At 49.7% G+C, this 24,088-nt stretch overlaps 1 protein-coding gene across 21 annotated transcripts in view; it reads right to left on the bottom strand.

Annotated features, from left to right (window-relative positions):
* The window catches only part of MICAL2 (microtubule associated monooxygenase, calponin and LIM domain containing 2), a 251,551-nt gene that overhangs the window by 82,011 nt on the left and 145,452 nt on the right, over positions 1–24,088 (bottom strand). For 8 of the 21 annotated variants that reach the window (NM_001346293.2, NM_001346297.2, NM_014632.4 and 5 more), the window contains 5 exons: positions 23,159–23,345; positions 21,574–21,662; positions 20,233–20,335; positions 17,593–17,650; positions 16,345–16,570 (listed from right to left, as the gene is read on the bottom strand). In NM_001346293.2, the coding sequence (NP_001333222.1) occupies positions 17,610–17,650; positions 20,233–20,335; positions 21,574–21,662; positions 23,159–23,345 (420 nt within the window). In that variant the 3' untranslated portion in view covers positions 16,345–16,570; positions 17,593–17,609. 21 annotated transcript variants of the gene reach the window in all.

The following is a 24,088-nucleotide window of genomic DNA, read 5'->3' as shown; positions in this document are numbered from 1 at the left end:
CTTAAATAACTGGAATTCAAGTGGCAAAGAAGTGGAGGCAGGGTGTCCTAGACAGAGGGGCAGCCCAAGCACACGCAGTTCCAGGATGGGAAAGTACAAAACTGCTCAAGCAGTGATGTGTTAGTGAAACTATATATATCCACACACTCTCTGTACATGGAAATCCAGCAGGGTTCCTTCCACAAGGTCACTGCCACTCGTCCACCTGTGTCTATGGCAGACCCCCTATCCATCAGAGTGCCCAAGCCTGGCTGGTCATGGTGCCCCAGTCCTGTTCACTGATTGTTCCCAGAGGGAAGTATGTGATGTGGGAGTAGCAGCTGGAGGCCTGCCTTGGCATCCTGACCTGAGGACATGAATTTATGGATACGGTCTGAGACCCTCAGTAGCCGAGTTCCATGTGTGGAGACAGCCTCTCTGCCAATGGCTGTAAAAGCAGCAGAGAGAGAGGCAGGAAGGGAGAGGGGCTGTTTGAGACTCTGGCTCCTGCCCTGCCTGAATGAGGACCACCCTTGGACTTCCCAGTCAGACGAGCCGATGCATTTGCCTTTGTTACCGAAGCTAGTTTGAGTTGGGTTTCTGCCTGTTATTATGGAAACAGGCCTGCCTACGTGGAGGCTTAGAAGACTCTGAAGGCTGTGTGATCCAGGGCAGGTCATTTCCCTTCTCTGGGCATCAGAATGAATCACCTGTGGGATGCTCAAGCCTATGTTCCCAAGCCCCATTCCAGAGTCTGCATGACCAAGACTTGACGAGCCAGTTGTCTACAACTGCAGTCCCTGCTTTCCCCTCATGTTCTCCCCACATCTACTCGTTCACTCCACCGAGGCCACTTTGTCCAAGTTAACAATGAGCCTCCCGTTGGAAAGTCCAAAGGTCATTTCTCTATACATATCCGACTGGGCTCTCCAGCAGCCTCTGATGCAGAGAACCAAACCCTCCCTCTTGAGACACTTTCTTCTCTTGGCTTCCACCACGTGCCATCTCCTGGTTCCTTTGCTCCCCAGTGGGTTTTGCTAGCTCCTTCTCCACTTGCCTACTGAATGTTCAAATGCCCCAGAGCTCTCTTCTGAGCCCAGCTCTTCTTTGTCTACAGGAAGATATTCTTACTGTGGAAACAACCCATCAGAGCCCTGGGCTTTAATAGCCTCTAAAATCACCATCTCCAGCCCTGCCTCCCAGAACACTTACATATTCAACCACTTACCTGACATCCACAAAGACACCGGCATCTCAAACCCAACGTGCCCAAAACAGAACTCTTGACTTTCTCCACTAACGTGCACCTTCTCTGAAATCTTCCCCACCTCAAGATAACTTTAGAAATGACCATACCAGCCATTCAGTCACTCTGGAAAAATTCTGAGAGTCACTCTGAAATTCTCTTTCCCTCTCATTCAGTCCATTAACAAATCCATCTCCACTGCTCCCATCCTGACCCCGAGCTGCAGGCTTCCACCTGCTCTTCCTGCCTTTATCCTCACACACGCCTGCTTCATCCATTCCCCAAAGCGAGGCCTGCTGATCTGTGAAAACTGTAAATGAGATGTTACTCTTCTACTTAAAAATTCTTTGAATTACAGTCATGTCTTTCATAATGATGTTTTAGTCAGCAATATAACCCATATTTGATGGTGGTCCCATAAAATTATAATGGAGCGGGAAAATTCCTATCACCTATTTACGCCGCAGCCCTTGTTAACATCGTAGGGAAAGGTGTCACTCACGTGTTTGCAGTGATGCTGGTTTAAAACCTACAGTGCTGCCAGTCAGTTAAGAAGTAAAGAATAAAAAAGCTTATAGAATAAGGGTATAAAGAAAGAAAATATTTTTCCAGCTATTCAATGTGTGTGTGTGTTTTAAGCTGTGTTACTACAATAAAGAAGTTTAGAAAGTAACAAAGTTACAGTAAGCCAATTTATTATTGAAGAAAGAAAAATATTTTTCAAATAAATGTAGGGTAGCCTAAGTGCACAGTGTGATAAAGTCTACAGTAGTGTACAGCGATGTCCTAGGCCTTCACACTCACACACCACTCACCCACTCACTCACCCAGAGCAACTTCCAGTCCTGTGAGCTCCATTTATAGTAAGTGCCCTATATAGGTGAACCATTTTTTATATTTTCTACTGTATTTTTACTGTACCTTTTCTATGTTTATATATATTTAGATTCACAAATACTTACCATTGTGTTACAATTGCTGATAGTATTCAGTAGAGTAACACAATGTGCAGGTCTGTAGCCTGGGAGCAATAGGTTACACCATATAGCCCAGGAGTGGAGTGAGCTTGCCCATCTAGGTTTGCATAAATGCCCTCTATCATGTTCACACAATGACAGAATCACCTGATAACACATTTCTTAGAACATATCTCGGCTATTAAGCGATGCATGACTGGATACCCAGAACACAATTTAAACTCCTTACCTTGTCTTATAAGCCTTGCTCCTGCCTTCCTTCCTGGTGTAATCTCTTATTCTTTTCCCACTCAGGGTGTACCTGCCGCACCGACCTTCTCTTAGCCCAGACACACTCAGTCTCACCCAGGGGCCTGTCACTAGCTGTTGTCACTTCCTGCATTCCCCTTCTCCCTTTGCTGTCCTTTCTTGCCAACCAATTCTCAGCTTAAATGTCACCTCCTCTGGGAGGCTGTGGGAATTTGTCTGCAAAGATGGTTGCAATTATTCCCTTTAGATCCATGCCCCTTTGCAATGGGGGCTTTGCAGCTCTTCCCCTAAAGAGAGCAGCCTATTCCCCACTTGTTGAATCTGTTTAGGCCTTGTGACATGCTGTAGCCAATCAGATGGCACTGGAGCAGCACTGTGCGTTGTCAAGCCTGGGGCTCAGGAGATCTTGGATGCCTCCCCTCTTTCTCTTAACAAGCCTGGACTGCCAGTTGGAGGATGAAAGACCCACGGCCCAATAGCCCTCTGTCACCCCAGCTGACACGCAGGCTCCAGAGCAGAACCCTACTGGCCCAAACACACAGGCGAGCCCACCAAGACCACAACTGCCCAGCTGCACCTGGCTTACTTGGTCAGGGTTGGCTTACTCCGGTCTACTTTTTTACACAATCGTGGTGTAATGAACGGTGGCTGGTTTAAGTCACTCGCTTTGGGGCTGGTTTGTCACTCAGCATTATTGTGGGCATCAATAATTGCTACAGAGGCCTTTTCCTGGCCACCCAATCTAAGGCAGCTGACCAGCCACTCTCTAGCATATGTGTCTATTTTATTTATCGACCTGGCGCATAGGTGATGCTTTTCTTGTTTAGCTACTTAACTTGCTTCCTAGATGGCTCCCAATGTGATGGAAACCATGGGAAAGCAAGGACCTTGTCTTGTGTTGGCCGCTGCTATTTCCTCAGAGTCTAGTAAATAATAAGCAATCAATACCTGCTGTTGACTTACCTCTTGAGTGAATTCAGTGCATCTGGGCGAGTCCTGGAGTCTGCATGTCTAATAACCACTCCAGGTGCTTCTGATGCAGGTGATGAGGACAGCGCTCTGAGAAACAGTCACCTAAGGCACCAGGGCTTCGCTCCTCATGTTCCCCACTCTGAATCCTAGCCTGCCCAGCCCCATGCATCACCATCTTGCAGTGGGCGGCCCTCGGGACAGGTGACACCCATTCTGCACCCCTCACTACAGTCAGCATGACACTGCCTCCTGAGAAGAGCATGGGGCCAGGCCCTTTCTCTTCCCAAGAAAATAACAATTGCTAACACTTACAGTGCTTATGACGTGTGGGCACTGTTCTATACACTTAACACATATGAATTCTGTGAATCTTACCACTCCCTCTGAGATGGGTACTATGATTGTCGCCATTTTACAGATGAGGAAATGGAGGCACAGAGAGGCCACACTGCAAGCAAGTAGAGAGAAGACCCAATCCCAAATGTGATTCCCTTCCTCCAACCCCGCTTCTGTCCCCATCTGGCAGCAGCCTGAGCATACCTGCTGTCTTCGCTGGTGACCAGGACACGCACAGCCAGCACATCCTGTCCAGCTGCTTCCTCCCCAGGGCTGATCCTCACTGAGGTCCACTCGGAGGGCAGGGGAGAGGCAGCGTCCCCTTCCGCATCACTGTGCTGTGGCTCAGAGATGCTCTTCGGCCTCTTGGGGGAGGTGGGCTCATCTGCTGAGAGGAGAGCAGGGTCTAGAGAGATGGTGCAAATGAATGGCCTAGCAGGACCCTTCCAGGGGCTCAGGGCCCCTCTAGGCCTGGGGTCTACTCAGATACTCCAAAGCTGACCTTCTTGTCCTCCGTGCCACCTCTGGAACCCTCACCCCCGAGCCTGCCAGATGCCCAGGCATTTAGGGCATATTTCCCACATGTAGGGCGTGAATGCACAGATCATCCCATTTAGTCCACAGGGAAGGTTCTGAAACATTCAGAGGGGCCATTCCAGGCTAACCAGCCTCTGAACTGCTGCTGTCAAGACGGCAACATCCAACATGTTGCTAAATCCAGTGGTAACATCTCAGTTCTCATCTTATTCGACTATTCTACACACCAGCAGCATTTGACCCAGCTGGTCACTCCGTCCTAGAAACAGCTCTCTCAGCTTCTAGGATGGCAAGGCCTGCCCAATCCCCAGCCCCTTCTTCACTGGCTATCTCCTTCATTTCCTCTCCTGGCTCCACCTTCTCCCCTTGACCTTGTAACACTGAAAGATCCCGGGACTCAGTCTCTGAACCTCTTTTCTTCTCTGTCTACACTCATGCTCTTGATGCCCTCATCTGGTCTCATGGCTTTAAATAACCCCAGGCAACAATGACCCCCAGATTTCTATCTCCAGCCTGGACATTCCTGATTCTAGACTTATATAGACCACTGCTCACTTGCATCTCCGTCTACGTGTCTAACAGACACATCAGACTCAACAAGTCCGAACAGAGTTCTTCATCTTCTCCACCCACCCAACATGTCTTGCCCATAGCCTTCCCCCTCTCAGTAAATGGCAACTTCAGCTTCCTGTTGCTCCAGCCAACACCTCGCCAGCATCTTTGACTGCTCTTGTCCTTTCGTTCTTCATTCAAGTCATCGGCAAATCCTGGTGGGTCTGCCTTCAAAACACGTCGGGAATCCAGACCCCTCTCACCGCCTCTCTGCTTCCCACTCCTGGTCCAGCCACCATTGTCTTTTGCTTGGATCATAGAAACTGCCTCTGCCTGGCCTCCGTCCCTGCCTCTTGCTGTGCCCCACCCCCACAGTCTATTCTCAACACAGCAGCCAGGGTGACTCAGTTAAAACCTGAGTGAGATCATGCCACTCCTCTGCTTAAAATCACCCAGTGGCCCCTCATTTACTCAGGGTGAAAGCTGAAGGCCCTACCGAGGCCTGCAAAGTCCAAGATAACGTAGTCCCCAGTGCGTCCCGTGACCTTGTCTCCTAGCACTGGCCCCAGGCTTGCCCTGTCCTCACCATGGCACCTCCGTGATGCTCCTCCAGCACTCTGGGCACACGTCCTTCTCAGACCCCTTGCACTGCTCTTGCTTCTGCCTGGAAGGTGTTATCCCCAGACGTTTCCATGCAGGCCTCATTCACTCACTGGCTGTCTTCAAGTCCTTGGTGGAACGTCACCTGCCCTGACCATCCTATTTAATATTGCAGCCCATGCCTCAGTGCTCTCCATTCCCCTTGATTTTCATTCATAGTGTGTCTCACCCTCCAATAAACTATACAATTTCCTTTTTTCATTTTGTTTATTGTCTCTTTCTTCTATGACTAGAATGTAAGCAGTGATTTTTGTCTGTTTCATTTGTTGCTAGGGTGGTACCTGGTGAACGGTAGGCGTTCAGTGAGTGTCTGCTGAATGAGTTCATGAGTGAATGCGCCCAGCTCTGTCTTGGCCACTAACTAGCTAGGTGACCTCATCTCCAGGGACAGTGTCCAGAGAACAGGTGTCATTTTTCCTCTTCAAGATGGAGCCTTCACCTGAACTTGGCTCCCTCTCACTTCCCTCCTCCCTCTCCACAGTGTCATTCTTGTGTCCTCATTTGTCTACTGAATCTTTCCTGTCTATATTTAAATATGCTGAAAGTCTCCTGTCTTAAGAAAACTTGTTTTAATCCCAGTCCTCACCCCCAGCCCCCAGCCTACTCTTTCTTCTTCCTTCTTAGCCAAGCTTCCTGGAAGGGTTGGCTACACTCTTCTCTCTCTCCTCTTCTTTATGAACCCTCTATTCCTATAATCCTGCCTGTGCCTCCACCACTCCCAAACTACCCCCAGCACAGTCCACAGTGACCTCCTTGTTTCTAAGTCCAATTCACAGGACTTTGGGAGTCCTCCTGCGGTCCTTGAGCCTGCCCTGTCCCTGCTCCTGGGGACACCTTCTCTCCCTGCCCCTGTGGCTGGCCGTCTCAGCTATCCAGTATTCCAGCCAACCCTTAAACACCTGGGTTCTCCATGCATCCACCTGAGCCCTCTCATCTTTTTACCCATGTGTTCTCTCTGGGAGATACAATCTCTTCCCAAACTGTATTTATCACCTGTGAAGATGACTGAAGAAATTTTGATTTTTATGTGAAATACCTCATCTTAAAATATCAGACACATCAAAAAAAAAAAAAAAACATGTCTGCAGCAGACTGAGCAAGTGGGTTGCTAGTTTGTAGCCCCTGGTGCGTGTGGATGCTTGCTGTGTGCACGTGTCTACACTTCTAAGTTAGTGTAACTGGGGATGGAAGGCATTTGAGGAATGTAGTCAGATGCTTCACTACATAATAATAATGACATGGCGATGGTGGTGGTGGTGGCAGCATTAGTCATAATAAAAGCAGTAGCAGCTTACTTTTATTGGGTGCTCAATATATACCAATAATTGTTTGAGCATTTGACATGTATTAAGTCTATTAAATCTCACCCGATCCTCTCAGAAAAGCGTTGTTATTACCCCCATTTTCCTGCTGAGAAAACTCAAGCACAGAGAGGTTACGACACCAGCACAAGGTCATGTATTCTGTCAGAGGACGGGGATCAGTCTGCGTGTCTGTGAGCACAACAGAACCATGAATGGACACTGTTGCGCATGACCTTTGTGCTGGGAGTTTTGGCTGGAAAGTGCCCCCAGTTCTTTTCTCCCTCCCTATACTAGAGTTGCGCTTTACGCTGTGACTTTGCAGTCCTTCCTGCTGGAGTTGGTGGGGTGTATAGCCCTGCCCCATGGACGTGAGGCTTGGCGGCAAGGCTTGCTTTGACCTGTGGTAACTCGTGGATGGGACGTGAGCAGAGGCTTTAAGTGGGCCTGCCAGTTGGCTGTCACTCATGTTCCTGCTAGGTTACATGAAAAGAACTTGTCGCAGGTGGCCACTACCCCTTCAGTCAGGGTCCCTGATTGAGGGCACATGGAACAGACCTGGAGCCAAGCTATAGCCTGGAGCCAACCCAGTCAATCCCTTGGGGCCTCCCTCGCCCTTAGACCTACAGCCTGAAGCAGAGCTACTCAGTCAACCCACAGACTCCTGAGCAAGAAAATAGGTGCCATATGCCACTGAGACTGGGGAGGCTTATTACATAGAATGACTGTGGCAAAGACCCAGCTCCATGCCTTGCTTCTTGTGTGCCTATGAGCTGTGTGCCCAAATGCTTGTATTTCCAATAGATGCTGTGTCCTCCTCAGATCCAGGCCTGTGCTAGGGGTTTGGGGATGAACCTGCCACCACAATCCCTGCCTTCAAGGATCTCTTTCTGTCTCACAAGGGAGATAAGGCATGTTCACAAATATCTACGTGATAAGACAAAGCATGTAAGAGTGAGGCATGGAAGAGGCAGAAGGGGAGGGAGATCTGACTTCCATGCAATAGCAGCTTTGGGTTAAAGGCACTGCTATGACTGGGCTTGGGGATGAGGGGAGAGAGTGGTGGAGTCCAGGGTGGCCTAGCAGGATGAGGCGGCTGCGGGTGGCCAAGGCAAGCTCAGCTATGCCAGTCTGCAGAGGTACCAGACCCACAGCCCCCACGCCTCAGAGCCCAGACCAAACCTGTAAGGAACACCCAGTGTCCTGCTTTTCTCTTTCCTCCTTCCATGGAGGGATGGAACAGGCCAGGGCTCAGCCTGGCTCCCTGGGCTCCAGGAGGGTGGAGGGCACGGCTGACAGATGGCCTCTCAGAGCACAGAGCCAGGGCCAGCGTCTCTCACAGTGAACCCAGACATCAGGGCAGGGACAGCAGTGTTGAGGTAGAGACTCTGTAAAAAAGAAGCTGGTACTTCCTCTGGGCCCCCTTTTGCCAATGTGCCCAGACAAAAAGCCTCAAAGGAGGCCAGTCTCCTCCCCGACTTCTGCAGTCTAACACTCAGGCCATGGCTAGTGCTGGGTTTTATGGGGTTCAGTGCCACCTCCACGAGAAAATTCCTCCAGTCAAGTGGCTACTTCCAGATATCTCTTTTCATTCCCAGACAGCTCCATCTGTGTGCGTATAACAGTAGTAATACTAGTGGCACTAGTACAAATACTGGAAATAATGCTAATGACAGTAACAAAAGCAACACTGACTCATCGAGTGCCCATATGCCTTCATCCACCCTAGCATCCCAACAGCCCTAAGAGAACGGTATTAGCATCCTCACAGGATGAGTGGAAAAGATTGGAGTCCAGAGAGAACACCCACCAGGCCAGCCAGTGAGTGCACAGTGCTGGGTATCACCGCAGCTGGGCCTCCGGCTGCTGGGCACAGAGCAGCTGCACATGTGGCCAGCCCCAGGTGAAGAGCCAGGTGTGCTCACCTGTGCTGCATGCCCACACCACCAGCCCTCTTGCTGTCTCCCTGAGGCTGGCTGCTCTTTAAGAGTTTGCCTGAAGCCATCTTTGCTCATTTGGAGAATGAAGGACTCTAATGGGGGCTGGAGGATGACAGGAGAGGAGGTACCTAGGAGTCATGGGTGAGAAGGATCCAGCACCCTGCAGAGCAGCTGCTGCCAGCCTGTGGCACGAAGCAGCTTTGCCCAGAACTGAGCACCTCAGCCTCATCTCAGCTCTGGCCAGATACCTGCTCCCTGACAAAAGATAGGACTTCAAAGATCCTAAGTGCCGGGTCCAAGGCCTACCTATGAGCCTGGGAAAGGCAGAGCCAGGCAGGGTCTGGGGAAACGTCTGTCCTCACACATGGCTCCCAACAGCCAGGTCCAGAGGCCCTTTCCTGGCCAGACCCCTGCCGCAGGGTTATGGAGAGGCGCGGCACTCCCTGGTTCTGCGGGTGAAATTGCTGCTGCTTTCTACTCAAGTCTGAAACTCTTCCACTCACCCCCAGAACCCAGGGAGATGACAACGCAACAGGCCTCCTGTGTGCTGCTATTAACCCCACTTTGCAGGAAAGGAAACCAAAGCTTGGAGGAGTTATCACACTTGACCAATGTCACACAGCTCCTAATGGCCAGAGCCATCTCTGGCCACTGTCCACTGTTCTCTCTGCAGAGAAAAGTTGAGAAAGAAAGCGGCAAAACTAAGAGGATCAGGATCCAGTCAGGAAGACAGGGCCAAGCCAGGGAGTTCAACAGAAGCATCCAGACAGGAAATGAACTGCAATGGTGCCGGAAGAGCTAAAAGCCAAACAGGGATGAAGCAACCCAGAGAGGAGCAGCAGCAGGCCACTGTCCCTCAACAGCAGAGGGACAAGGAGAAGAGCTGGTGCCACCAGAGCCCAGAGGCCACAACACTGCCACTGCTGCAAGGCAGGGAGCTGGGAGGGACACCCTGGCTTCCCCTTGGATCCTGCCCTCCAGCCCCACACCAGCGCGTCCAGCAGTCAAAACTAACAGTAAGCCAGTTTCAAGGGAGCTGGAAAATGTAGTTTGCAAGGGATACGCCTTTTCAATACAGAGCCAGCCAGAGAAGGGCGGGGAAGGCATCTGAGCACACACAGGTAGATATCTGGGATTCTGAGCAGAGTGGCCTCCCTGCCCTCTTATAAGAGGGGACACTACAAGTCCCCAGCAGGATGAGGGAGGGCCCTAGGAAGATGCTTGTGGCAGGCAGTCCTTCTACCCACTGCCAGTGTATGTCACAATTGCTCTGGGAAGGAGACTAGTCGATGCCAGAGCCAAAGTCCTTTTCAGTGTGTGGCCCTTTAGGGAAAAGGCACAGGTACCAAGATGGGCTGGCTGCCCTCATGGGGGCTTCTGAGAGTGACCCCTCAGGGTGCAGTCATGGGAACAGGAGTCCACGGATCTTCAGGGGGTGAACCAATTGATGGGCAATCTTCGGCCTCTGGCTCCTCTGCCCTGGGGCATGGCTGTCCTGCCTTGCTGTACTCCTTCCAGGAGTGGACCTGGCCCGTGTGTGTAGGTGTGCAGATACACACGGACACACCCTCCACTGCCCACAAGCCAGGCGTCATTCAAGGGGCCCTGGCTGGCCCTAGCAGTAGCCTTTGTGCAGGGACCAATAAATTAAAATGTAAACCTGAGGAAGATGCAAGCTTTGACAGGCAGTGCCGAGCCTCAGCCCCTTCCCCACGGCCCTCAGCAGAGCTGAGCAGCTCCTCCCACGAAGCCCTCATCCTGGACACTGGGCCAGACACAGGGAAATGCTGCCACAGACGGCTGGCGATCTGGCACCAGCCCTCAGCACATGGCTCCCTCTGGACACCAGGACTCCTCCATTCAGGTGAGGGGTGGGGGCACACGCTGTATCTTCCCAACAGCTCTGCAGGCTCCAGAGTATCAGGGAAGCTGAATTTCTTTGCTAACAGCAGCATGTCTGGAGCCTTCTTCTTGGAACCTGCTTCTTTTCTTCCCTCTTCTTCTGACACTACAGGCACTGTGTCTGGCCAGCTGTGAGCCTTCAGCTTTGGGCACAGCCAGGACCCATACCCGCATTCCTCTGAATGAGGAGGGCAGGAAGAACTCTAAGTTTCTCGGAAGGCAGCCCAGCAGCAACCCTGTAAAGCAGGAAGGGAAGTAGCCTGGGGCCCACTGTCATTCCCTCCTGTTCAGAACCTGGCCAGAGCAGCAGCAAGACCCCAGCACTGAGCAAACAATCCCCGTCCAGCTGCCACATGTCCCCAAGGGAGTCACAGCCAGGGCCTGGTGTGGGTTGGGGATGGGAAAAGAGAAAATCTGATCTTCTGGCATTTCTAGGCTCCTACAAATGGAAGAGTTGGACTCTTATTTTTTTTTTTCCTTTGAGACGGAGTCTCGCTCGTCGCCGAGGCTGGAGTGCAGTGGCACAATCTTGGCTCACTGCAAGCTCCGCCTCCCGGGTTCACACCATTCTCTTGCCTCAGCCTCCCGAGTAGCTGGGACTACAGGCGCCTGCCACTACGCCTGGCTAATTTTTTTTTTTTTTTGTATTTTTAGTAGAGACAGTGTTTCACCATGTTAGCCAGGATGGTCTCGATCTCCTAACCTCCTGATCCGCCCACCTTGGCCTCCCAAAGTGCTTGGATTACACGCGTGAGCGACCGCGCCCGGCCGAGTTGGCCTCTTTATCTGAGGGTGGGTCCCCTGCTTCCTCAGCCCCTCTGCTGCCGGGCAGGCAGCCTCTCTTGGTCTCAGTTATAGGCACTTGCAGGATAACTGGGCTCAGGGGATCAAAGCCATGCTGAGCCACCCATATGCCTTGGCATGGGGGCCGCACCCTCCAGCCCAGGTTATGGTGGGTGGAGTGTTCCCCACCCTGTCCCTTGTCTCACATCTGCCACCTGGATTCCTGTGTCAGGACCCCAGAGCAAGGCACAGTGAAGAGGGGACAGAGGATGTGTGTGGGCCAGTGGCCTGGGCCTTGATGCCCCAAAAGGGATGCTGCTGGAACTGCTCTCTGCTGCCAACCTCAGCTTGTCCCTGAGAGGAGGCATCCAAGGCCCACCTGCTGCTGTGCAGACCCAGCTCTCCCAAGAGTTGTACATGACAATGATGCCCCTCAGAAGGCAAAATAGAAGCAAAATCAAAACTCCCTTCTCATAATCAGGGGGTCTGCAGTGGCAGCCAGGACACACAATGTCAGACTTCTCTTCCTCCAGGTCTCCCTCCTGAACCATGCTGGATGCCAGCCAGACCTTCCCCAGCCCGAGATGGCTGCATGTTCTGCAGTCTGAGGTCCAGGCCAGAGGGCATATATCCTAAAAATATTTTTTGAGGGCCCACTATGTGCTAAGTGCAATTCTGTCGGGGTTATACAAGCATTGAAAGGCAACCAAGACCCCTGCCCTCATGGAGTTTGCATTCAGTGAGCTGGAGAGCTGCTGGAGTTTTGAGCAGCAGTGAGACATAAATTCTAAAAGGATCATCCAGGCCAGGCACAGTGGCTCACACCTGTAATCCCAGCACTTTGGGAAGCTGAGGCGGGAGGATCACTTGAGGTCAGCAGTTCGAAAACAGCCTGGCAAAACCCTGTCTCTACTAAAAATACAAAAGTTAGCTGGGTGTGGTGGCGGGTGCCTGTAGTCTCAGCTACTCGGGTGGCTGAGGCATAAGAATCACTTGAATCCAGGAGGTGAAGTTTGCAGCGAGCTGACATCACTCCAGCCTAGGTGACAGAGTAAGACACTGTCTCAAAACAAACAAACAAATAAATAAAAGGATAATCCGGCTGTTTTGTTGAGGAGGTTGAGGGGTGAAGGGAGAAGCAGGAGGCCTCAGAGGGGTGGCTGCAATAACTTGGATGACAGTGGCGGAGGGTGGTTAGTGCGGAGGTGGTGAGGAATGGACAGCTTCTGGATATTCCTCAAATTTGCTAATGGATTTCGTGTGAGGTCAAGAGAAAGAAGAGTCAAGAATGACTCCAGGGCCTTTGGGCTGAGCAACAAGAAAAGGGGAATTGCAGTCTCCAGAAATGGGGAAGGCTAAGGGCAGAGCCTGTTTTGGGGGAAAATCAGCAGTTGGAGTGGACATTTGGGCTGGACATGCCCAGTAGACATCAGGTGTGGAGCAAGCGGGCAGCTGGGCACAAAGTGAGAGCCTATGCCCCCTCCTTGCTGAGACTCGGGCACTCACTAAGGCAAAACCAAAGTCCACCGGCAGGTGGTGGGAGGGAAGGGGAGCTCCAGAGCTGAGGCCTGGGTGTCCGAAGGGAGGTGGCTGTTGCCTTTAAGAAGGCTGGGGAATCAGAAACCTGGAGGAAAGCAGATGGTGCCACCAGTGTGAATCGAGACCGCTGTCTAGTTCCCAACCTGAAGGTGTCCTGTCAGGCGTTCTGAGCCCCAGTTAATCGAGAATGCCCGACAAGTTTTCCTCTGGGCGCTCTATGCTGTGCAAGATCAGGAAAGTGCTATCTAGAACATGGCAAAGAGATCTTGCTGTCCTGAGAGTCAGACACCTTGAAAAACCCTACACTAGAGGCATCCTTAGCCCCAGTTCACAGAAGGGACCTGTCTAATGCCACTGAGTCAGTACCAACTGCTGGGAGCAAAGCCTGGTCTTTGGTGGAGCCCAGGCCCTCAGCATGCACCGAGGTTCCTCTTAGAGCAGGCACCTGACTCCTAGCCTGGGCTGTGGGACTCAGTCCCTTCACAGTGGAAAATGTGGCTCTAGACTTGCTTCTGCCTCCCTAGTATCAGGAGCTTCTTTAACATCAGTACTGACCGCAAGGTTGCCACAAGGAGGTGAAGAGCTAACGAAGTTCTGCACATAAAATTCTTGGCCCACTACCTGGCACAGAGAAAATGTTCCCTATATAACAGCTGGCTGGGGGGCAGTAAAAGATGCAGTAACTTCTTTTACTTACTTAAGCCTTTTTTTTTCTTAAGTTGTAAAAATGAATGCATTTATAGAAATAAAGGGGAACAGCCCACCCACTCTGCTTGACCGACTTACACATTCAAGTTGCACAGATTTATTTCTTCTGCTGGATTATTTCCTCAGGATAAATTCCCTGCAGTAGAATTATTAGGCCAAGAGGTCAGAGCCCTTTTCTGGATCTTAATCAGGGTTGCCATAATGCTTCCCAGGAAAAGATTCTCCCAGTTTACTTTTTACTCAATACTTGGGATGAAGTTCATATTTTTTTCTTACAGTTTTACTTTTTTCTTTACTAATTCAGTAGATGCACTATAATTTTTATTATTTTCTTTTTGAGACAGAGTCTCACTCTGTAATCCAAGCTGGAGTGCAGTGGCATGATCTCAGCTCACTGCAACCTCTGCCTCCTGGGTTCAAGTGATTCTCGTGCCTCAGCCTCCCAAGTAGCTGGAATTAAAGGCATGTGCCACCGTGCCCAGCTAATTTTTTTTTAGTAGAGACAGGGTTTTGTCGTGTTGGTCAGGCTGGTCACGAACTCCTGACCTCAAGTGATCTGCCCGCCTCAGCCTCCCAAAGTGCTGGGATTACAGGTGTGAGCTACCGCACCTGGCCCATGTGCACCATAATTAATTTACTTCCTTTAAAAACCAAGTAGGAATACTTTTGTAAATGCTTGCTTTTTCTTTTTAGTGTTTACTTTTAAAATTTGCTTAAGGGTAAATTGCCTGTTCATAGCCTTTGCCTATTTATCATTGACTCTTTAATCAACAAATATTAACTGATCATCTACACTATGAGAGGTGCCCAGGAACATCTGTTTTAAATGAACCTTGAAAATACCATGCAATGAACTTCTTTGTTATTACATTTAGTTCATATTTTTCCCTAGTCTAATGGTCTATTTAATATTTTATTACTCTACATTAAGTTTTAAAAATGTATATAATCAGATTTGTGTCATGTTTTCCCTGTGTGGTGTTCTTCCTATTAGAGGATTTATGCTTAGAAGGTTATCACCCCATATCTAATCAATACTTAATTCCATTTAATATTTAATTATATGGTTTTCCTTTTAAAATTCTAAGTCTTTAATCCAATATCTCTGAATTAAACACTAGTCTACCAAAACTATGTATGTAGAATGCAATATTCAAAAAAAGCAAACCAAAACAAAAACAAAATGTTCACATAAGTATGGGACAGCTGACTTTCACAAAGTTGATTAAACTTCCCTACAAGGATGCCTCAGAGACTTGACATGCTAATGAATCTTGCTAGTCTCCAGGACGGGGGAGGACTGGCAAGATCAGTACAAAATATTCCTCAAATGTTGTGATCATGGACTCCTTTGTTGGTGAAGCACCACTTGGGGTGTCACGCTTTGACAATAAAGTGACGATTTTTGTCTGCTTTACTCCCTGCTGTATTCCTAGTACATAGTAGATGCTCAGGAAATATCACAGAGTTGAGCAAACAAATGAGCACATGCACAGTTAAATATAACAGATCTCATCTAGTACAGCAATACTGAGCCACATCTCTAAGGTGCAGGGAGGTGTGGGGACTTCGCATGGTTCCCTGCTGTACCTAGGGCTTAGAATAAGGCCTAGGACAAACATTTGCTGAATAAATGAATGCATAAAGGAATGAGTCACTTGCACAGCCCAGCACCTGACTTACAGTCCCTAACATCCCTCCTTAAATGGAAGTGGGAATATATCACCCAGGTAAGAGTACAGAACCCTTGGTCATGACCTGAGGCAGCTCTGAAGGTAGATCCAGGCATCAGAGACCAGAGCCTCAGGAACACCCATTTGGAGGTGCCAGGGACCTCATGAGGTTCACAGGTGACTTTTCATACCACTGTCAGAAGCCCAGCTACGCCCAGCTACGCCCAGCCAGGAAATGGCAGGCATCCCACCCAGGGGAGGCTGAGGACCAGATGACTTTGGCACTGCCCAGGATAGCCAAGTGAGGCTCCAAATCTTTCCCTTAAACACAGCCTGGAGTTGCCTGGGGCCTGCCATGAATACTATACTTCGGGTGGTGCTAGGGCAGGGCCTCACACCATAGATACTGAATACCCTGAGCCTTTGGGACAGGAGAGGTCTCTTAGGATGGCAGTGGCTCTCCATCTGATGAGCACACTGCCAACTTCATTGCCATCCTAATATTGATGCCCAGTCCTTCCTACTTACCTTCCACTTGCCACTCAGCTGTGCACCAGCGTGAAGTGTTCCAGACCAACCTTTGCTGAATAGGAACCTAAATTAGTGTAAGGTTCATGGGGAAAGCTCTCCTGTAGAGCCACGCTTGGGTGTGCGGGGGAAACGGGTAAAGGTAGCCATCAATACAGTCTGCTTCTAATCGCTGAGGGGACACTGACCCTCACCCACTATGCCCAGCATCTAGAACAGCAAAGTACAATGAGTGTTCAAGAAAGAGATCCCAAAGCCTAGCCCAGGAGCATTGGTGACAGTTTCCAAATATTACCCAGGGGTAATATTTCCTTTCAGAGTGCCCAGCGCAGCCCCAGAGAGTCCTGTGTTACCTCAAGTGCAAGTCCCGCCAGCAGTTTAGGGAAAATGAACCCCCTACACCAATCCCTGTGTGTGAGGTTTTAGAAGCTTCCACGGCAAAGAAGAGAGGAAACAATGAGCTTTATAAAGAACAATATTTATTTCCATTTACAGCATCAAATACCATAAATAAAGCTAAACATTGTTTGTTTTGCTGTGTGCAAAATACAGGGTTCCGTGTGGCACTGTAAATGATTACCAAAGGTCACAGACATGCGTTGTGATGAGATGGGGAGGCTAGCTAAAGAGGAGGCTGAGAGGGGAGGAGGGCACTCTTTGGTTGACATTCTATAAAGGGAGGGAGACTCTGTAAGAGAAGATAAGACAAGAGCAACGACTTTGTACTGGCCAGGATCTGCACAAATACAGTGAGCGTGCAGCATGCAGGGCCAGGCAGGCAGGCCCGGGGGTCAGGGTGGTCTGGGCCACATGCAGGACAGACGCCCACCGCAGCCTGAGACCGCGAGTGTTGCCTAGGACAGCTCCACGGTGCTTGGTGTGTTGTTTCTCGTTAAGAGTGTGTTGGTGATTATCCTGCTGCCCCAGGTACAAGAGTCAGCAGAAATGTGTGCTTTAAGCAGAGTCACAGGGGCCTGGGGCTGAACTGAGTCATTTCTCAAAGATATCCCTGCCTGGGATGATGATGGCTCTAATTGAAGCTCTGGCATCATCTGGGGCTTTATGAGCCAAGGGAGATAAGAAGAGCCACAGCAAAACCCTTGGGTCTACAGTGCAGGCTGCAACCAAGGCAGCATTTGCTAGAATATTTGTGATTATGTGTTCAACCTACAGAGCATGTGTCAAGCTTGGGATGAGGCCTGAGAGTAATTAAGTTTTTTAAATCCCTCCAAATAATCACCTATGGTTTTGATAAATGACATTAACAATCTTTACATTAGAGCCAATTTAAGAAGGCGCTGGTATGTATGAGCTTTTTGAGGCTGCTCAAAAAGTGTTCTTTTCAAAGGTGACAGAGGCCCCCTCATGGTATTGTTTCATGATCAAGGTCGACCCTCCCAAGAAAGTAGGTAGCTTCGCAGACGCAACTGGAGAAGCATGCACGCAGGCAGACCCAAGGGAGAGAGGAGAGGCGGGGCATGCACTTGGGGTAGACCAGGCTGCCAGCTCCATGGGAAATGAACACAGGCATGGGTCTCAAGCTGAACACCCCCCGCCATGCTGTTAGCCAACCATGCCACCAAATGAGTCCATCAGTATGCAAGACACTCACAGTTAGTGCAACCAGTACTGCTGGCGGAGAGGACGGGGTGCGGAAAGCGGGTTGGGGGTTAGTACCACTCTTTGAAAATTGGCAAGAAAACCAGTCACCTTAGAGCAGAAGTGTGTCAGCCAAGAAGTGGGTGTAGCACTGGAAGGCTGAAATGAACTGATGGCCATGGCGTAAGATTGGAAAGAGAGAGAAAGATAGAAAAGAGAGCTTAGTGTGGGGAAAAAAGGAAATGATTAACATCACGAGAAGGCACCGGAGTTGAAAATAAGGCCACGATTGAAAGAGGGAAACTTCCTCTGAAAGAGTCGCTGTTTGCTTAGGAGAGATGAACCTTTCTGGTTGTGACCAGCTACTTGTTTACGAGAGTGGATGCACACAGTTTGCATCTTGCTCCCTGATATCCTCTCTGCCCCCATTTTACTCTAGCGTCTCCCATTCATTCTTGAATATGTTGCGGAGGCCTAGAGGCATTCATCCTCGGGGGTCCACCCCTGGGTGTCGGTGCTGCCCACCAGAAAGGTTCAACATCTCAGAGCGTACAAACATCTCAGATTTCTGACAGGCACGCCCTGTCTCGCCACAGTAATTCAAACCAGTCTCCTTATGGCTGTACACGACAGTCAGAGATTCCGACTCGGGCTTCATGGAACACTCCACAAAGCATCTCAGCCTATCCTGAGCTGAAGATAATCACAATAACATGGCCGTTCACATCATGACCTCAAAAATTTACTTTCTATACTCAAACAAAAGGAATCAAGGGTTCCTCCCACCATGCTGAACATTAAAATCCCAGCAAAAATTGGAGAAAACACAATGCAAGTCATCGGACTGAGAACAGTGCCAACAAGGACAGAGGCGCCAGTTCCCACAGAGTTGGCCACGGCCATGCCTCTGTTTTTCCCAAGGATTTCAGGGAAGTGTTTGTAGAAATGCACCTCCTTCTTCCCGCCCCATAGAAACTGTCATCTCAAAGCTCTCAAAGGTTCTGACTCCTCACCCACACCCAGGCACACCTCTTAGTTAATCCAGAGGCATCTCTAGTGATAACTCCACAGAGCTATCTTGGGCCCAGCAACTCCAGATACACTGCGCACCGTAGATGGCCTTTCTCTGGCGGCCCCTTGATTGTTCAGCCAGACCCTGCAGCTGTGTATGTCTAGGCAGCGTGGAGTAGGGAGAGCTGAGGACTCTTCTAGATACCCAGAGTAAGAACACAGGTGGACCTGCATGCTCATTTTTACCCTTACTCATGCATATGTCCTTTGGATCAGTCCATAAATAGCTTCCACTCCCAGCCTTCCCTGCCAGTCAAGATATGGTAGAGCTTCCCCTGGAGGTCAGACCCATTCCTTTCCCAGGGCAGTGTGAAATTGGTTTCTGTTTTGACCACATATGTGTGGCAGCGGAGCAGCTAAGCAGTCAGGATGTCCACAGGCAATGCTCACTGGGCAGGCCACGCTTCCCAGCAATAGCCTGATGTGCTAACAAACCCCCTCAGTCCCAAAGGACACCACATAAGTGGACAGAGTCTTCCACTCCACTTGGCCTGACCAATATGGACCCTGCACAGCCTTGGCTCAGCCTGCAGCCCGGGCTGGGGGATCCGCTGGGAGCCACAGGGGCTAAAATGCCATCAGTTGAAAGAGCTCATCTTTGGCACTGCATCAGCTCCATGGTCAAATGCCAATGGGCTTTCCCTGCAGTGCCCATTAGTGGGAAGGGAAAATGCATGTTTGTAGAATCTGTTGAAACCCCACGGTTCTTTGTCATTTGGCTGTGAGTTGGTATGGGGGGGAAAGCCTTTAAGCTACTGTTTAACATCAAAACAAGGGAGCAAAACAGTCCTCCTCCCAGGGGGACAGATAACAGCCAACCACACACTGCTCCGTGCTTCTGTAAGTTGAATTCTATTCTGCCCTTCTACTCTCTTCTTCTAAAATAATTATGCTTTCGTGTTGTAAAAAGTATCCTGCTGCTGACAAGTGGCATCTGGGTACCTAAGTCAAAAGGCACTGGTCAGGAGATGGCACACTCATTTTCATGCGTGTAAAATCTTAAATCATCCACTTTGCAGGCAGTGGCTTTGATAACTCACTGCAGTGTTCAAGGGGTTTATAAAACTGGTTATAAGCTTCAAACCCATGTTTAGAAAAATTGACACTCATAGAAAAAAATGCTTTCTCTGGGCTAATTAAAATTAAAAAAATTGAAATGTAAACCCAGAAGTATGGCTCACAAAGCTATAGAAAAGATCCTTCATATCATCCCTGGCCCTAGCACCGTGAGTAGATGTTCACCCTGATAAGGCCAGGCGGAGGTGGCCCATGTGAAATTCTTTGGCTTTGAGCTAATTGCTTAGAGAATGCTAGGCTTCCTGGCCAGAGCCTGAGCAAACTGCAAACGCACTGCCATCTGAAGCCTCCCTGGAAATGTGAAGGCACTTTGGGGCAGCCAGCCATGTCAGCGGAGCTTGACTGGGAAGCACCTGAGCACCCAGTTGCAGATGCTCTCGAGGGAGCCCTCAGATTCCCTGTACATGGCTGCCAGGACCTCAGAGAACGCCCAGAGGAGTGGCAGCCCCAGGCTCAGGAGCTCGTACATGTAGCAGTAGTTGTAAGCATTGTCCCTGATATGGAGGCCAGCAGCTTGCAGGAGTCCCTGCATCCAGTTACACAGGTCCCTCGGCAGCCTGAGGGGCCAGCCCAGCACCTTCCTAAAGAAGGAGGTGGAGATACCTGGGGGGCTGCCTTCCAGGGTGCCAATGGCGGCCACTGCGCAAGAACTTTCGGTGGGAGTGTCTCTCCGAGGGGCTTCCTGCTCTTGCCATGTTGCCTCCTCCTGAGAAAGAGATGGAAATGAGGGCATTTGTCTGTAAGTCTTCCAGAGGACTACTTCAACAAAGCCAACAGCCAATACAAACTGAACTCGCCAGACCCTGCAACCAGCCCCCACAATAATCTCAGCCCCCCGACTCATGCTGAAGCCGGTGCTGAACACGGGCACTTTTCTAGGGGCCAACTGACCATAGGAGTCACGAGCCTTCAAAAATATGCATGCCTTTTGATCGGCAATCTCACTCCTAATGATATACATCAAGTAAATAATTTGAAATATGGATAACAACATGCATACTAGCATACACTGTAAAAACATTTGTAAGATAAAAAATTCCAACGACGTAAAGATCCAGTAATACAGAAGTGGTGAAGTAAATTATTGACCATTTATAGACTAGAATCTTCCAAAGGCATTAAAAATTATGCTCCAACATAAAAAAATTTAATGTCATGGGAAACTATTCTTGATATACAGTTAGTGAAGAAAAGGAAGAATATAAAACTCTAGGCATAGGATTCCACTTTGGTTAAAATACATTCACATAGAAAAAAAGCCTGGAAAGGGATGTTACAAAATGTCAACTGCGGTTTTCTCAGGGTAGAGTGGTTACAGGTGATTTAACTTTGTTTCTTTATATTCTTTCCTTCCCATGTTTTTACACTGAACCTATATATTTGGCTAATTAGAAAAAAGTTTTAAGTTATGGGTTGTTGCTAGTGGTAGATGATTAATCAAGCCCGAGAGAAGATATTTGCTAAGAGATGCCAGAAGAGATGCTTCCACAAACCATCTATGAATTCAGTGGGCTGGTCACTTTGTTGACTTCGAGAGCCTGGGAGAGGACTTGGAAAATGTAGAAGGGTCGGTCCTATACCAGGCATTCTTGCAAACAGCACCTTGTGGCCAGGTGGGTTCCAGGTACAGAGGGCCATGTGGCTTTTGTGTGGCTAAGCATATCACCCCATCCCTGCCACATGGGCAAGCTCTTCCAGGCTTCTTATGAGAAGCCAGCATGGCTACTGTCCTGGGAGCTCATCTGGAATGGGACACACCCCAGAGGCTGTGGAACAGACTGAAGCAAAAGAACCCTCCACACCAGGAAGCAGAGGCTTTCTTCTTTATCTGTGAGTCATCTCAATCCCTCTAGGGCCAGCAAAGCTGGCCTAACTTTGAGGATCACTGGAAACCCTTATCAAGGGGCCTTCCCCGTTTCACCAGCATGTTTGAGACAAACATACCTCTCTTTGTTGCTTCAACTCTGCCCGTCTCTTCCGTTGTTTGCTATTGGTTTTACAGTGAATGAAGTGAGGCTTGCAGTAAAATTTGCCTGTAAAAAGAGGCACACACATACAGAAAAATTTTTCTCCTGTAAACTAGAGCTAAGTAGACAAAAGCCAAGTGCCCACCACTGTCCAAGTCAGAAAATAGTAACGATGGAAATAGCCCAGGGTGGCTCAAACTTGGGAAACGGCTTCTGTCACCTTCCTTAAAGAAGTGGCACTGAGATAAGGTAGGAGGGCCCTTTGCTGCCTCAGAGACAAGCTCCAGCAATGGGGGGCTCCCGGGGATGTGGCTAAGACCTTCAAACCATGCCGGCTCCCGTAGGGTGGCATGCCCGCACCCGGAGAGGGCATGGGAGCTCTGAGCCCCTTCTCCCATACCACACCCCATGCCTCTTTTCCATCTGGCTGCTCCTCTGCATCCTTTATAATAAATAGGACAACATTTAAAAAAAATCCCCAAATCAAACTGAGGCCAAGTTTCTTCATAAGACCGGTTGCCAGGCAGCTAAATGGACAGCTTCGAGTATGAACACCCTCAGTCTTTCTTTGTGGAATACCTGGCGGGTGGGAAATGCTGAGAGCAAATGGCAGCAGTGATGGGGAGGAAAAGACCCAGACGGGGCACGCACTGGGAAACTGCCACTGCCCAGGACCACTGTGCGCCTTCCAGACAAGCCTTCCTTGCTCACTGCTGCACTGGTAACAATAGCAATAGTAAAAATTGTAACAGTAGGGGACACTTACATAGGAATGACTGTATGCCAGGCATGATGCTATGAGCTTCACATGAATTAACTCATCAGTCATCACAACCACCCTGAGAGCTAAGGACTACCGTTAACCTCATTTTACAGATGAGGAAACTGGGGGACGAAGAGTTTAAGTAACAAGCCCAAGGTTCCATGCTTAGGAGGTGGTAGACTCTGGAGTGGAACCCAGGCAGTTTAATTTGAGGGTGTGTATTGAGCACCATGCTATACTGCCTCTCGTTATAGGTGACAGAGCAAATGTCAAGTGCTGAAAATTAGAAAATAATCATTCGTTCCGATGAGCATGATTCCTCCATTGATGTCTTTGTTAGGCCACTTATCAGAGGGAATATCATTATGATGGTTATTTTAAAAACACATACTATGTAAGTAATATTAACATTGCATCATTTGGTGAACCTTACTGCATGCCAGGTGTGGTGCTGAGCATGCAATGGAGAGTATCAGGTTGGATTTTCTTGGCCATACAGGGACAATGGAGGGTGGTGAGGCTACATAAGAAGAGGTACATAGAGCCCTGGGCACACAGGTGCCCACCAGGACCTGGTATGCCGTACCACAGTGCTGATGCTACCCCTTCCCTGGGACCACAGGCAGCCTCCCCTTCTAGCAGGAGCTCCCAGTCTCCCTGAGCAGCTTTCCTGATGACATCATACTTCCTTTTGGGTATGTTTGGGTGTCCTAGAGCCACCAGAGGGACAGGAACCCGAGCCAAGGTCACACCTGAGGCCAAGGCCAGAGCCCAGTGCTGCCCTGGCCCCTGGGGTTACCTTCATCGCAGTCAAAGGTGTAGGCGGCCAGGCGCAAGGTGGTGGCACAGATGCTGCAGCGGAAACACTCCCGGTGGAAGAAGTGGCCCTCGGCGCTCAGCCGTTCCATCACGTACACACGTTTCTTACAGAAGTAACACGTGTCGCTGCCTCCCAGGTTAAGGGGAAATGACTTTCGCATAGATTCCTGGGGATCGGGAGAGAAGAGTGGGTGTATTATGGCTTATCCCGAGCCTTCAAATGCCAGGCCAAGGCTTTTAGAAATTCCACACTGAATGCTGGGGACCTCGTGGGCTTCTGCTTCCTGCTACTGCCACTGCAGCAAAGAGGGAGGGGTAGGAAGATACACCCCCAACCCAGACCCCAACCCTGCAGGGGCTTCTGTTAACTGTACTCCCAGACAGGCCCGAGACAACAAGGTGGGCCCGGGAGGGGCTCTCCCCGAGGTTGGCTGCTCTGGTTTTGGGGTGGGAGTGATCCTGGTCTGACGGAGTGGGCTTTACTCACAACCCTGTCCACCCCAGGATATTCTTTCCAGGATCTGTCCTTGGGATTAAGTGTCACCTGGTTCTGGACAAAGGTCCTGAAACTGGCCCGCTGAGGATGTTTTAGGTGTCCTGTTCCCCTGCAGTGGCACAGGTTGGGTGAGGAAAGCTTGTGGCATCAAATCTGGTCAGTTATAGTCCTAGTTGTGAATTGGGAGGGCACGGGCCAGGGCAGCAGTACCCCTGGGCGATTCCAGGGCAATGGGCCAAAAGGAAACAGAAAGAATGGTCAACTAAAATTCCTGGTGATGGCAGCGAGCAGCCCAGTTTAGAGAAAGGGAGAATTCAAATCAAAGGGCTATTTTCCCCATGACCTTTTTCTCAATCCAATGCACAGAGTCTGTTCAGGTTGGACACTAAACACTGAAAGTGAGGGCCATTCAAT

The sequence above is a fragment of the Homo sapiens genome, chromosome 11 (assembly GCF_000001405.40).
Source record: "Homo sapiens chromosome 11, GRCh38.p14 Primary Assembly".
NCBI lineage: Eukaryota > Metazoa > Chordata > Mammalia > Primates > Hominidae > Homo > Homo sapiens.
This window is presented reverse-complemented; position numbering and strand designations above follow the sequence as displayed.